The following is a 16438-nucleotide window of genomic DNA, read 5'->3' as shown; positions in this document are numbered from 1 at the left end:
AGATGTGTATGAGTATTCTCTATGGAGAGAAATTGACAGAAGCATAGAATTAGAAGTTTTATGTAATTTTTGTATAATACATGTGATAGGATATACAAGAGATGAGATAAAACCTTGGGATTTAAAGTCCTTACATGTTACTTACCTCTGATAAAAAGACCAGTTATTAAAATATATAATAAAATATGCAATTAAATAGGATAATAATCAATGTTACCAACATTTCATAGAAAATCAAACACAAATAAATATATTGAAATGTACTAAATCTTAAGTGTAATTAATAATTGCAAATTCTGGATGGTCATTTAAATATATCTTAAAATTAAAATTTTTAAGTTTTTTTTGTTTTTTTTTTTTGTAAATATTAACTGCTCAGAGAGGATTCCCTTGATGCAATTGCTGGTAGAATGCCCCATCCTTTTATCCATTTAAACTGCTTTGGCTTTTTTAGAGTATTTATCTAGAAGTCATCACTAGTTCCCCATTCTATTTTATTGTGTTTTCAAAATTGTCTTTCTGCTCCCAGAAGCTCCATGAGAACTTTCGTGTTTTATTCATTATAGTCTAACTGCCAGAATGGTGCCTGGCAAATTATAAGCATTCCAAAAGTGTTTGCTGGATGAATAAGACAGAAATTGTGACATGACACATTTTACTCATAAAATTGACTACGATTAAAAAGTATAATAATGTCAACTGTTGAAGTGAAATATGTACTGTCCTCAATTAATGAGGGTTTAAGTTGAAATATCTGGTTTGAGTTGAATTTTACCATGTCTGTCAAAATTAAAATCTACAACCCCCTTAAAAAATTTCTTTAGATATATGTGTACAAATTATAAAAATATGTGCAAATTTAGGTAGCCTTAAAGTATTAAAATACGGCTAAAATATCAATCAATATAGGATAAGAAACATAAATTAGAGTATATCTTTAAAGAAAAGAATAGTGGGAAACCATTACACATAAGATATATAAAAATAAAACTTGGCTGGTCACAGTGGCTCACGCCTATAATCCCAGCACTTTGGGAGACCAAGGCCGGCAGATCACCTGAGGTCGGGAGTTTGAGATCAGCCTGGCTAACGTTGTGAAACCCCGTCTCTACTAAATACACAAAATTAGCTGGGTGTGGTGGCACATGCCTGTAATCCCAGTTGCTCGGGAGGCTGAGGCAGGAGAATCGCTTGAACCTAGGAGGTGGAGGTTGCAGTGAGCCAGGATCATGCCACTGCACTCCAGCCTGGGTGATAGGGTGAGACTCTGTCTCCAAAAAAAAAATAAAATCAAAATAAATAAAACTTATAGATAGTAATACTAATAAAAATTAAGGCTGGCCACAGGGGCTCACGTCTGTAATCCCAGCACTTTGGGGAGGCCAAGGTCTGCAGATCAGGAGGTCAGGAGTTCGAGACCAGCCTGTCCAACATGGTGAAACCCCATCACTACTAAAAATACAAAAATTAGCTGGTTGTGGCGGCGCGTGCCTGTAATCCAACTACTCAGGAGGCTGGGGTAGGAGAATCACTTCAACCTGGGAGGCAGAGGTTGCAGTGAGCCATGATTGTGCCACTGCACTCCAGCCTGGGAGACAGAGTGAGACTCCATCTCAAAATAAATAAAATAAAAAAATACAATACAATACAATACAATACAATACAATACAATACAATACAATACAATACAATACAATACAATAAAAAAATAAAATAAAGTAAAAATAATAAAATAAAATAATAAAATAAAATAAATAAAATATAAATAAAATATAATAAAATAAAATAAAATAAAAAATGGTAAAATAGTATGTATTGTGTAATATCATGGAAAAATTTAACATGTTATATAACTGCTACTTTACAATGGTTATGTTTCAGAACTAAAGCAGTTTCCTTTTGGGTAAGTGATGTGCCCACTTGTATTATATCTCAGATAGATCTCATAAATTTGACATAGGAACCCAACCTGGGAGCAACCTTGGCAGTCTAAGCTTCACTACTCTTCATCTGTGTTTTAGGATTACTGTTAGTATTTAAATTATTTGGAAAGCTTTATATTAGGTAAGATCTCTGATTCTAACAGTCTGATTTGAAAATCTTACCTTTTCAGTAACCTCATATGCATATCCACGTACACATACCTATGCTGTGTGTGTGTGTGAATGCGTGTGTTTGTGTTTAAAATATCTTTAAAAGTATACATGTAAAACTCTTAAAAGGAATTACCTCTAAGGAGTTTAACTAGGAATATCAATTATGAGGGAAAATGTTCTTTTCTGTTATTTTTTTTTCTTTTCTTTTTATTTATTTATTTAGAGACAAGGTCTTGCTGGGCAGGCTGGATTGCAGTGGCATAATCATGGGTCACTGTAGCCTCAAACCCTGGGCTCAAGCGATCCTCCCACCTTAGCCTCCAGAATAACTGGGACTACATACATGTGTGTGCCACTATGCACAGCTAATTTGTTTGTTTGTTTGTTTTTTGTTTTGGAGAGAAGGAGTCTCACTGGTTATTCAGGCTGGTATTTAACTCCTGGCCTTAAGCAATCCTTCCACCTTAGCCTCCCAACATGCTGGGATTCACAGGTGTGAACCATGGTGCCCAGACAGAACTTTTCTGTAGCATTTACTTCTACATTTTACCTGTTTAAATGGGCTTGAATTGAATTAGTAGAAATAATAACAATAAGAACAAAACTAAAAACAATTATATCTGCAAGTGTTTACAATGTAACATAAAGTAAAAATTTTTAAACACTGCAATTAAATTTACATTTTAGAAAAAAATTTGGAACCGATGATCATGGACTAGACTAGGTGAGAGCATGGGAACATCAGCACTATTGTAAGGTGGTCCAATAATACAGATGTGACATTAGAAGGAATAGAAATACAAGTTAAGCACTAATAAGAGATACACAAGAAATAGACTTACTGAGTTAGAAAAGAAAGATTCTAGTTGATTGGATATAAAGAATGAGAATAAGAAAAATACTACAAATATGTACTAACACTTTAGATTGAGAGACAAAAATAGTTTAGCAGTTCCGCAAAATGCGGGATTCAGCATAACCCTGGCAGTTGGCTGAGGAAGAGGGACACTTCCTGGAAATAGAATTAGAACCCAACAATATTAGTTCCAAGTTGGATTCACTGGGCAAAAAAGATACAGTCAAACTGATTGCATTTGGAGGATTTTCTATGAGAAGAGCAGAGGTAATTAAAATTACGTAAATGCTAGGGTAAATTAAAGCAAGAGACATTGAACTGCTATTTCTTGATTAAGCAAAGTTTTTCCTTGAATGGCCTCCTTTGGGTGCTCAATTTTGATTCTTTTTTTTACTACTACTATTTACGATAACTTTAAATGATTATATTTATGGTCAGTAATTTCATACATTTTCTATTATTTGCTGTATACAAGTTTATAACGTTACTTTTATTATTGTTAACATGGTGACATATAAATGGAAAATTAAAGTTCCACAAGAATATTATGTGGCCAATTTAACAAAATCATTGAGTGATTGAGCTAGAATTTGAGCTTAGTCAGTCTAAATCATTATCTCACACTCTTAAGCATTATACTCATGATAACTTTGAAATTCAGGGATATTTTACATTGCTCTCAGAGGACATTGGAACATTTAAATCATCTTCATGTAAGGATAAGCCACTTGTGAATATTTAAGAACTGGCTTAAGAATCAGGACTCTTTTGGAATTGCATTCAGATCCAAATTCAAAATACTGAAACAGTAAAGTGGATGATATCGTTATAGTTCCCAAATTTTATTCTTATTTTCTTTCATTTAAGGTTTAGAATCTTCCACGAAACCTAAAGTTAGCAAAGAGCTGTGGGGAGGAGAATGTAACAAGTCGTAAAATAATTAAGTGGGGAGGTAGAATGGGAAATGATACTAATAGGGTTTTGTATTAGTCTGTTTTCACACTGCTGATAAGGAGTGAGACTGGGAAATTTACAAGGAAAGAGGTTTAATGGAGAACTCACAGTTCCACGTGGCTGGCAAAGCCTCACAATCATGGCGGAAGGCAAGGAAGAGCAAGTCACATCTTACCCAGATGGCGGCAGGCAAAGAGCGCTTGTTTAGAGAAACTACTGTTTCTAAAACCATCAGACCTCGTGAGACTTATCCACCATCACAAGAACAGCACAAGAAAGAACTTCCCCCATGATGCAACCACCTCCCACCACCTCCCTCCCACAACACATGGGAATTCAAGATGAGATTTGGGTGGGGACACAGCCAAACCATATCAGGTTTATATGAATTATACAATTTACAGTAATAAGGAGAATTCTAGGTTGTTCTTGCTAATGAGAGAAATAGGGGATTTCATTATTTTTGTCAATATACCTCTTTCTGAGCTAGTATGGGAATATGCTGATACTTTGTCTTGATTTGATCTCATTGTTCCAAAATCAGTTCACATTTTCTACCCTGGCACTCGTGGGTTTATTTTATTCTGTCTCATGTTCATTATTCTAGAATTGCCTTAGTTTTGAATTCATTGATAAGTAACCTGAAGTATGAATAAGGTGACCAAACTTTCCGGAAGCTTTGCTTTCTTTTCTTTTTTTTTTTTTTTGAGATGGAGTCTCCCACTGTCGCCCAGGCTGGAGTGCAGTGGCATGGTCTCGGCTCACAGCAAGCTCTGCCTCCCGGGTTCACGCCATTCTCCTGCCTCAGCCTCCTGAGTAGCTGGGACTACAGGCGCCCGCCGCTGTGCCCGGCTAATTTTTTTGTATTTTTAGTAGAGACGGGGTTTCACCGTGTTAGCCAGGATGGTCTCCATCTCCTGACCTCGTAATCCGCCCGCCTCGGCCTCCCAAAGTGCTGGGATTATAGGCATGAGCCACAGCGCCCAGCCGAGAAGCTTTTCTTAAATAAAGAAAAGCTTTTCTCAATCTCAATCAGAGATTACTGATTAAGGAAGATATTCACACAGGAAGTGAGAAGTCTGTAAATGTAGTAAAGTTATTAGATCTTTGAATCAAGTTAAAATACCTGGCTCTGTACTAACAACTCAGAAAAGTTAATTTTCCATTTACAGTATAGCAAAGAAAAGTGGCTTTATATTCAATGTGTGTTTTGTTCTATGTAACATTAATTTAATTAGATTATGGCCCTTCAGTTAAGTCTTCCTTTTTGAGTTTAATAGAAATGAACATAAATTTTTACAATACCTCTTGTGATAGGGCTTAAAATATTGGCAGATATATTTTTAAATGGATTCAGTGGTTAACTTAAGATTACAAAATAGAACAAAGCCATTTGATCTCCAGCAATTTTAATTTATACATTTGCTTCAGAAACCATCTGAGTTAAATAACTTAGCAACATACTGGATCATGGGTGCCTTAAGACCTCAGCATGACATGACTACAATGTCTAAATATTCATAATGGAATGATATAAATTTTTAGAAATAGACTGCAGGCTATTTTGATGGCTAACGATAAACCTCATCAGCAAAATTTTATCATGTATTTTATTCATTCAGAGTTATGAGTTGAGTCAAAATACAGAAGAGCGCATGACATCATCTCAGAATGAAAGGTTATGTTTTATTTAGAAAAGCCCCAATGAACTCAAATGTGATGGTGTCATAACTGAAAGAAAATTACCCTATTAGAGTGATTTATGATAATTATAGCAATTAAATTGTTTTTAAATGAGGCGTTTGGGGGTTCACATTCAGTGTCTTTTCTAATTTTAGAGACTTTTGATGTGGAAAATCAATGTAGTAAGTGAAGAAATGAAATTTACTACATATAGTTAATCTTGTATCTCAAGTTTCTGATGTATATACAAATCTGGGAGTGGCAATTATATATAAGATTGGAATATTTTCAGATTTCATAAGAAGCTATGTCAAAAATAAGGTAATTATTGTGTGTTTTGTTTGTTTTGTTTTGGAGATGTAATCTTGCTCTGTTGCCCAGGCTGGAGTGCAGTGGCACGATCACAGCTCACTGCAGCCTCCATCTCCTGGACTCAAGCAACCCTCCCACCTCAACCTCCCGAATAGCTGGGACAAGAAGTGTGCACCACCATGATCAGCTAATTTTTGGATTTTTAGTGGTCAGGGTTTCGCCATGTTGCCCAGGCTGGCCTACAACTCCTGGGCTAAGGCAATCCACCCGCCTCTGCCTCCTAAAGTGGTGGGATTACAGATGACCCACTGTCCCTGGCAATAAGGATTGTTTTATTCAATAATATTTATGAGTCAAATAATTATATGCATGAAAATTTTCTGTTTTCTTTGCCTGATTTCAAAGATTGGAAATATTGACTAATCTCAACTGACAAAAAAAGAGATAGAGAATGGCATGCTATTTTTTGAAAAAAAAAAAAAAAAACAACATTTTATGACAATCAGGTAAAATTTTAAAAAGGGTGTATAATTTCCCTAGCTATGTCTATCTGTCTATCTATTAGATAGGTGTATGTGTGTTTTTGTGTCTGTGTGGGTATATGTATGTGTGTGTCTGTGTGGGTGTATTTTTTTCCCATGTCTGTCTATCTCTATGTGTATAGATAACTAAATCTATATACACAAATGCACACACACACACACACACATATATATATATATATATATAAACTGGGAAAATAATACACCCACACATACACACAGACATGCACACACACATACACACATATATACACCTAGGTATGTGTGTATATCATTGAAAGATCTGTGAATCTGAGCTATTTTAATAAGATTAACATAGAAAAGCAATTTTTATTAACATAATATTTTAGAAAAGTAGAGGCACTTTTTGAAATGGTTTAATATAGTTTTTGGGAAAAACACAGAAGTTTGAATCTGAGATTTGAAATTAATTTATTTTTAAAATAATAATTCTGTTGATGTTGATGGAAAATAAATAAATAGTACTAACTGAAATGAGCATTGGACATAATGGCACAACTATTAGCTTCTTACTTAAATTTTACTTATGAAAAAATATATAATTATTCTTCATTGGAGAAGGTTATTATGTTTCTTATAGAAAGTAGAAAAAAACAATAAACTAAACAGGTAAGTAAACAAAATTTCTGACTTTAACTTAATCAGTTGCTCAAAATTTTACCATATTTTAACTTGTTATATAATTGGACAATCTTTCTTTGTATTTTCATATCGTAATTACGTTTCTCCCTTGGAGTGACTATGCGCATGTATGTACATGTTCATTTTTGTCTATTTCTTTTTCATATTTAAAGAAAAAACCCTTTCTTGACATCCCATTTCCTCCCCACTCCATTTCACTCTAAGTAGAGGGTTTATTTGGATTGGTCAAATACAAAGACATTTCACAGGGCCATCAGCTATGATAGATAAAGTGTTCAATGCTGCACACATCAAGGTACCTTTGACCATAGTCCTATTCTTCCTGATACTCTCCCAACTGCACAGTGAGTCACTTCTCACAACTGTAGCCTTAGAAATCTTTTTTTCTGGCATTTAAGTAAACTTTTACATGCGCATTGTTCAGCTCTTTACTTGAGGTAGTTCTCTGATTTGACTTATCCCTCAAAGTATACAGGTAAAATCTGAATCTGGTCAGCAAAGTTGCCTAGGCCATGCAAGGGGAAGTTACCTTGCAATGCAGCTGCACTCCTCTAAGTTCTAGGCTAATGTCAGGGACAAATAACATGTGTTTTCTTGAATTTCCCTTGAGAATATTAAGAAGAAGGGAATAAATAGGAGATTATCAAATTTAGGGCAAATAATATCTTCATTTGTTCAACAGCCAACAAATATCCTTCTGGAATTTATTTTGCAAATTATAAAATACTTTGTCCATATGAAATACATTTAGCTATCATTCTAGCCACCATAGCAATTTGTATCTGTATTGCAAAAATAATTTTCCATTTTGATTCATTATTTTCTGACACAAAACATTATTGGTAAAATAGTCTAGATATTTATGTCAGAGAAAATAAAAGAAAAATTATATATATGTATATGTGTGTATATTTATATATATTCTATTAATAAAGTGAGCTCTAATAAGTGCAAAACTAAAAGGACTATCACATTGAAAGAAATGTGAATCTAAGAAAACACAATAAAATGAAAAAAGAAAGTAGAATAATGCAGAATTATTACAAAATTCTCTGTTAATTATATTTCTACTAGGACAGTTCACCTTACTTCAATATTTTTTATTTCTCTACTTACATTGGAAAATCAAGAACCCTGGATATTTGATTTAAGGAATTCAAGTACTAAATTACATAGGAAGTAGAAATAAAATTGTCTCTGAAATAAAATAAATCACCATCCAATATTATAAAATCTTTTCTTTCCTCTTATTGACAGTGCTACAGTTTTCCAAGACTAACACCAATCCTTTTAATCAGAAGAAAATAAAATTTGTGTCTATATATGAATGTATGTTTGCTTGCTTGTGGGATATTTGTTGCTGTCTGTAAAATAAAAGGGTCATTTGCCTTGAATAAAGAAAATAGATTAAAAAAATCATCAGAAAATGCAAATCTGAACCATGAAATAAAACCTCACACTTGATAAAATGGATATATATTACTTATATAATATATATTGTTTATTTTATAATTACATTACATAAATATGTAATAAATATATTTATTAATAATAAATATATATTATGTGATATGGTTATTTATGATATATAATTATATATTATATATAATATGTTATATATTTTTCTTCAAAAATTTAAAAATAAAACCACCATATGTCTAGCATTTTCACTTACAATTATATATCCAAAAGAATTGAAACAATTCAATTAGGATCTTGAAACAATGTCTGCACTCCCATGTTTATTGTAGCATTAGCATTATTCATAATAGCCAAGGTATGGAAACAACCCAACAATAGACAAATGGATCTTTAAAATGTAGTGTGTGTGCCTGTGTGTATTATTGGCAGATGTATATTTAAGTATATTCAGTCGTTAACTTAAGCTTACAAAATAGGTCAAAGCCGTTCAATCTCCAGCAATTTTAATTTATACATTTGCTTTAGAAACCATCTGAGTTAAATAACTTACCTATAGACTCTGAATCATGGGTGCCTTAAGTCCTAAGCATAACATGACTACAATGTCTATAGTTCTATATATAGAGAGAACTATTATTCAGCCTTAAAAAAGAAAGACTATATATACATATATATAGATATAGATATATATAAAATGAACTATTATCAGCCTTAAAAAAAGAAAGAAGACATTATGCTATGTGAAGTAAGTTAATCACAGAGGGACAAATAGTACATGATTCCACATGTATGAAAGTATTTAAAGTAGAATTATAGAGGCGAAAAATAGAATTGTGATTGTCATGGCATGGGGTGAGGGGAAATGGGGATTTTCGCTGGGTATACTTACAGTTATACAAGTGGAGTAAATTCAGAGATCTGCTACATATATAGCGCCTGTACTTAACAATAAAGCATTGTGCATTTAAAATTTTAAGAAGGTAGATCTATGTTATGTGTTCCTAGCACACACAAAAATATAAAAGCAAAGAGACACAAGAAAATGTCTTGATGTGAAGGGTATGTTTATTATATTAATTGTGGTGATGGTATCACAGCTATATACATAAGTACAAAACCATCACATTTTATACATTAAATATATGAAGTTATTTATATATTAGTTGGATTTCTATAAAGCTAAACTATATAAAATAAATATTTAAAAAACAACAAGTTAGTAAGGATTTTAGTACAAGCCAAGATGGAGTCATTCCACTTCAAGTTTTCTTTCTGACTGGCCCCAGTTAAAATCTGCCAACAGATTACAAGTATAAACTCCCAAAGGACTCTGAAAAATAAATAATAACAAGTGATTGATGAGTGAAAAAAGTCAAAACTTGAAGAAATACCCATGTAGTGATGATGAGATTTTTCCTGTCCTCCTCCTTTTACCCAAGGCTTGACTCAAGTGAGTAGAATCAGGGAATTGAATAACAGAAATAGACATTAAAATCTAAGAATAGTCTACTTTTCTGGCCTGAGAACTGGGAAAGGAAAATCTGTGAGCCCAAGAATGTAAATAGAGTGATCACCTATTTGGTGTTTTCTCTTTTCTATGTTATTACCATGTTCTTGCCCACATTACACAAAACACAAAATCCCTACTGTCATGGGAGTAGGGAGCAGGGCACAAAGAACTCTAAAAGAACTTATTTCAATGGATGAATAGGACAAAAACCAAACAAAACAAAAAACAAACAAAAAAAATCTGTTAAGAGAAGCCTGATCTTTATTCTCCTTTTTTTTTTTCTGTAGCCACATTAGCCCAGTGCCAACCATTATACAGTTGTGTGTGAAGCTAACATTCTGAAAGAACCCTATCACATTACTGAGAGAAACCAGGAAAAGGGTCTCTGGGGGCAGAGAGAAAATTGCTAAAGATGTCAATCTCCTAACTCTGTGTATGGCCCAATACCATCTCTCTAAGCACTGAATGTGTAGTATACACTCAAAAGATTCTATTAAAATCTTTGATAATTAAATTACAACATAAACAACATACCCAAGTTTAAGAATGTACCTGAACTGGCAAATAGGACGGACTCAAAGATCATAAAAAAGGATTTCAAGCAGATTTGACATTTTAATCCATCACCCACAATAGATAACACACAATTTATAGCATGAAGTTTACTAGATTTTTTTTGGTAAAACAAAGAAAAAGAAATTAACAATTCTACAGAGAATTTTAACAGAAGCAGAATTTCAAAACATTATGTTAATTTAATTTTAACATTACTATGATAATTTCAAATTATCCAGCATATAGTACAAAAATTACAACTAGGAAATCTGACCAATTCATAAGGGAACAGACAATTAATAGCTGCCAACCCAAAGATGACCCATATGTTGGAATTATTAAGCAAAGACGTTAAAAAAGTCATTATCATCATCCTCCAAAAGACGAAAATAAACACTGTTGAAATGAAAGATAAAAGTTATCATCAGAGAAATAGAAACTAATTACCTAGATAAGATAAATGATTATTTTCCACAAAAGTCATTTAAAATATATATGCCAATATTTTAACATTATCTTGTAATATAAATAGATGTAATATGTATGAAACTGAAACATAGAGGATCAAGGAATCTACATACTGTAGTTGTAAAGCTTCCATGTTTTACTTGAGGTGGTAAAACCTCAAGTAAAACAGTTTCAATAGTTTAAATAGGATGTGAAAAGTTAAGACAACTAAAAAGTTATATTAAAAAACTAAAATCCAATAAATAAAATAGGATGTTAAATATGTTCAAATAATCTTCAGGGAGGTAGGAAATTGAAAATAGAGTAATAAAAAGCAAACAAAAGAAAATAATTGATAGACTTAAATCTCACCATATTATAACTATATTCTGTGTAAGTTATCTAAACACATGAATTAAAAAAGCAAGATAAACCTCTTTATGAGCTTATATAAAACTCATTTTAAATAACATGATATAGAAAATTAGTAAAAGGATGGAAAAATATACAATCATTAATTTAAAAATATTCATTGCTCTTTTTTTATTTTTTTTAATTAATTTATTATTATTATACTTTAAGTTTTAGGGTGCATGTGCACAATGTGCAGGTTAGTGACATATGTATACATGTGCCATGCTGGTGCGCTGCATGCACTAACTCCTCATCTAGCATTAGGTATATCTGCCAATGCTATCCGTCCCCCCTCCCCCCACCCCACAACAGTCCCCCAGTGTGATGTTCCCCTTCCTGTGTCCATGTGTTCTCATTGTTCAATTCCCACCTATGAGTGAGAATATGCGGTGTTTGGTTTTTTGTTCTTGCGATAGTTTACTGAGAATGATGATTTCCAATTTCATCCATGTCCCTACAAAGGACATGAACTCATCATTTTTTATGGCTGCATAGTATTCCATGGTGTATATGTGCCACATTTTCTTAATCCAGTCTATCATTGTTGTACATTTGGGTTGGTTCCAAGTCTTTGCTATTGTGAATAGTGCCACAATAAACATATGTGTGCATGTGTCTTTATAGCAGCATGATTTATAGTCCTTTGGGTATATACCCAGTAATGGGATGGCTGGCTCAAATGGTATTTCTAATTCTAGATCCCTGAGGAATTGCCACACTGACTTCCACAATGGTTGAACTAGTTTACAGTCCCACCAACAGTGTAAAAGTGTTCCTATTTCTCCACATCCTCTCCAGCACCTGTTGTTTCCTGACTTTTTAATTGCCATTCTAACTGGTGTGATATGGTATCTCATTGTGGTTTTGATTTGCATTTCTCTGATGGCCAGTGTTGATGAGCATTTTTTCATGTGTTTTTTGGCTGCATAAATGTCTTCTTTTGAGAAGTGTCTGTTCATGTCCTTTGCCCACTTTTTGATGGGGTTGTTTTTTTCTGGTAAATTTGTTTGAGTTCATTGTAGATTCTGGATATTAGCCCTTTGTCAGATGAGTAGGTTGTGAAAATTTTCTCCCATTTTGTAGGTTGCCTGTTCACTCTGAGGGTAGTTTCTTTTGCTGTGCAGAAGCTCTTGAGTTTAATTAGATCCCATTTGTCAATTTTGGCTTTTGTTGCCATTGCTTTTGGTGTTTTAGACATGAAGTCCTTGCCCATGCCTATGTCCTGAATGGTGATGCCTAGGTTTTCTTCTAGAGTTTTTATGGTTTTAGGTCTAACGTTTAAGTCTTTAATCCATCTTGAATTGATTTTTGTATAAGGTGTAAGGAAGGGATCCAGTTTCAGCTTTCTACATATGGCTAGCCAGTTTTCCCAGCACCATTTATTAAATAGGGAATCCTTTCCCCATTGCTTGTTTTTGTCAGGTTTGTCAAAGATCAGATAGTTGTAGATAGGCGGCGTTATTTCTGAGGGCTCTGTTCCGTTCCATTGATCTATATCTCCGTTTTGGTACCAGTACCATGCTGTTTTGGTTACTGTAGCCTTGTAGTATAGTTTGAAGTCAGGTAGCGTGATGCCTCCAGCTTTGTTCTTTTGGCTCAGGATTGACTTGGCGATGCGGGCTCTTTTTTGGTTCCATATGAACTTTAAAGTAGTTTTTTCTAATTCTGTGAAGAAAGTCATTGGTAGCTTGATGGGGATGGCATTGAATCTGTAAGTTACCTTGGGCAGTATGGCCATTTTCACGATACTGATTCTTCCTACCCATGAGCATGGAATGTTCTTCCATTTGTTTGTATCCTCTTTTATTTCCTTGAGCAGTGGTTTGTAGTTCTCCTTGAAGAGGTCCTTCACATCCCTTGTAAGTTGGATTCCTAGGTATTTTATTCTCTTTGAAGCAATTGTGAATGGGAGTTCACTCATGATTTGGCTCTCTGTTTGTCTGTTGTTGGCGTATAAGAATGCTCGTGATTTTTATACATTGATTTTGTATCCTGAGACTTTGCTGAAGTTGCTTATCAGCTTAAGGAGATTTTGGGCTGAGACGATGGGGTTTTCTAGATATACAGTCATGTCGTCTGCAAACAGGGACAATTTGACTTCCTCTTTTCCTAAATGAATACCCTTTATTTCCTTCTCCTGCCTGATTGCCCTGGCCAGAACTTCCAACACTATGTTGAATAGGAGTGGTGAGAGAGGGCATCCCTGTCTTGTGCCAGTTTCCAAAGGGAATGCTTCTAGTTTTTGCCCAGTCAGTATGATATTGGCTGTGGGTTTGTCATAGATAGCTCTTATTATTCTGAGATACGTCCCATCAATACCTAATTTATTGAGAGTTTTTAGCATGAAGGGTTGTTGAATTTTGTCAAAGGCCTTTTCTGCATCTATTGAGATAATCATGTGGTTTTTGTCTTTGGTTCTGTTTATATGCTGGATTACATTTATTGATTTGCATATATTGAACCAGCCTTGCATCCCAGGGATGAAGCCCACTTGATCATGGTGGATAAGTTTTTGATGTGCTGCTGGATTCGGTTTGCCAGTATTTTATTGAGGATTTTTGCATCAGTGTTCATCAAGAATATTGGTCTAAAATTCCCTTTTTTGGTTGTGTCTCTGCCCGGCTTTGGTAGCAGGATGATGCTGGCCTCATAAAATGAGTTAGGGAGGATTCCCTCTTTTTCTATTGATTGGAATAGTTTCAGAAGGAATGATACTAGTTCCTCCTTGTACCTCTGGTAGAATTCGGCTGTGAATCCATCTGGTCCTGGACTCTTTTTGGTTGGTAAGCTATTGATTATTGCCACAATTTCAGATCCTGTTATTGGTCTATTCAGAGATTCAACTTCTTCCTGGTTTAGTCTTGGGAGAGTGTATGTGTTGAGGAATTTATCCATTTCTTCTAGATTTTCCAGTTTATTTGCGTAGAGGTGTTTGTTGTATTCTCTGATGGTAGTTTGTATTTCTGTGGGATCGGTGGTGATATCCCCTTTATCATTTTTTATTGCGTCTATTTGATTCTTCTCTTTTTTTCTTTATTAGTCTTGCTAGCAGTCTATCAATTTTGTTGATCCTTTCAAGAAACCAGCTCCTGGATTCATTAATTTTTTGAATGGTTTTTTGTGTCTCTATTTCCTTCAGTTCTGCTCTGATTTTAGTGATTTCTTGCCTTCTGCTAGCTTTTGAATGTGTTTGCTCTTGCTTTTCTAGTTCTTTTAATTGTGATGTTAGGGTGTCAATTTTGGATCTTTCCTGCTTTCTCTTGTGGGCATTTAGTGCTATAAATTTCCCTCTACACACTGCTTTGAATGCGTCCCAGAGATTCTGGTATGTTGTGTCTTTGTTCTCATTGGTTTCAAAGAACATCTTTATTTCTGCCTTCATTTCGTTATGTACCTCGTAGTCATTCAGAAGCAGGTTGTTCAGTTTCCATGTAGTTGAGCAGTTTTGAGTGAGATTCTTAATCCTGAGTTCTAGTTTGATTGCACTGTGGTCTGAGAGATAGTTTGTTATAATTTCTGTTCTTTTACATTTGCTGAGGAGAGCTTTACTTCCAAGTATGTGGTCAATTTTGGAACAGGTGTGGTGTGGTGCTGAGAAAAATGTATATTCTGTTGATTTGGGGTGGAGAGTTCTGTAGATGTCTATTAGGTCTGCTTGGTGCAGAGCTGAGTTCAATTCCTGGGTATCCCTGTGAACTTTCTGTCTCGTTGATCTGTCTAATGTTGACAGTGGGGTTTTAAAGTCTCCCATTATTAATGTGTGGGAGTCTAAGTCCCTTTGTAGGTCACTCAGGACTTCCTTTATGAATCTGGGTGCTACTGTATTGGGTGCATATATATTTAGGATAGTTAGCTCTTCTTGTTGAATTGATCCCTTTACCATTATGTAATGGCCTTCTTTGTCTCTTTTGATCTTTGTTGGTTTAAAGTCTGTTTTATCAGAGACTAGGATTGCAACCCCTGCCTTTTTTTGTTTTCCATTTGCTTGGTAGATCTTCCTCCATCCTTTTATTTTGAGCCTATGTGTGTCTCTGCACGTGAGATGGGTTTCCTGAATACAGCACGCTGATGGGTCTTGACTCTTTATCCAATTTGCCAGTCTATGTCTTTTAATTGGAGCATTTAGTCCATTTACATTTAAAGTTAATATTGTTATGTGTGAATTTGATCCTGTCATTATGATGTTAGCTGGTGATTTTGCTCGTTAGTTGATGCAGTTTCTTCCTAGTCTCGATGGTCTTTACATTTTGGCATGATTTTGCAGCGGCTGGTACTGGTTGTTCCTTTCCATGTTTAGCGCTTCCTTTAGGAGCTCTTTTAGGGCAGGCCTGGTGGTGACAAAATCTCTCAGCATTTGCTTGTCTGTAAAGTATTTAATTTCTCATTCACTTATGAAGCTTAGTTTGGCTGGATATGAAATTCTGGGTTGAAAATTCTTTTCTTTAAGAATGTTGAATATTGGCCCCCACTCTCTTCTGGCTTGTAGGGTTTCTGCCGAGAGATCCGCTGTTAGTCTGATGGGCTTCCCTTTGAGGGTAACCCGACCTTTCTCTCTGGCTGCCCTTAACATTTTTTCCTTCATTTCAACTTTGGTGAATCTGACAATTATGTGCCTTGGAGTTGCTCTTCTCGAGGAGTATCTTTGTGGTATTCTCTGTATTTCCTGAATCTGAATGTTGGCCTGCCTTGCTAGATTGGGGAAGTTCTCCTGGATAATATCCTGCAGTGTTTTCCAACTTGGTTCCATTCTCCCCGTCACTTTCAGGTACACCAATCAGACGTAGATTTGGTCTTTTCACATAGTCCCATATTTCTTGGAGTCTTTGCTCGTTTCTTTTTATTCTTTTTTCTCTAAACTTCCCTTCTCGCTTCATTTCATTCATTTCATCTTCCATTGCTGATACCCTTTCTTCCAGTTGATCGCATCGGCTCCTGAGGCTTCTGCATTCTTCACGTAGTTCTCGAGCCTTGGTTTTCAGCTCCA

This window comes from Homo sapiens, chromosome 2, assembly GCF_000001405.40.
Source record: "Homo sapiens chromosome 2, GRCh38.p14 Primary Assembly".
Taxonomy (NCBI): Eukaryota; Metazoa; Chordata; class Mammalia; order Primates; family Hominidae; genus Homo; species Homo sapiens.
This window is presented reverse-complemented; position numbering follows the sequence as displayed.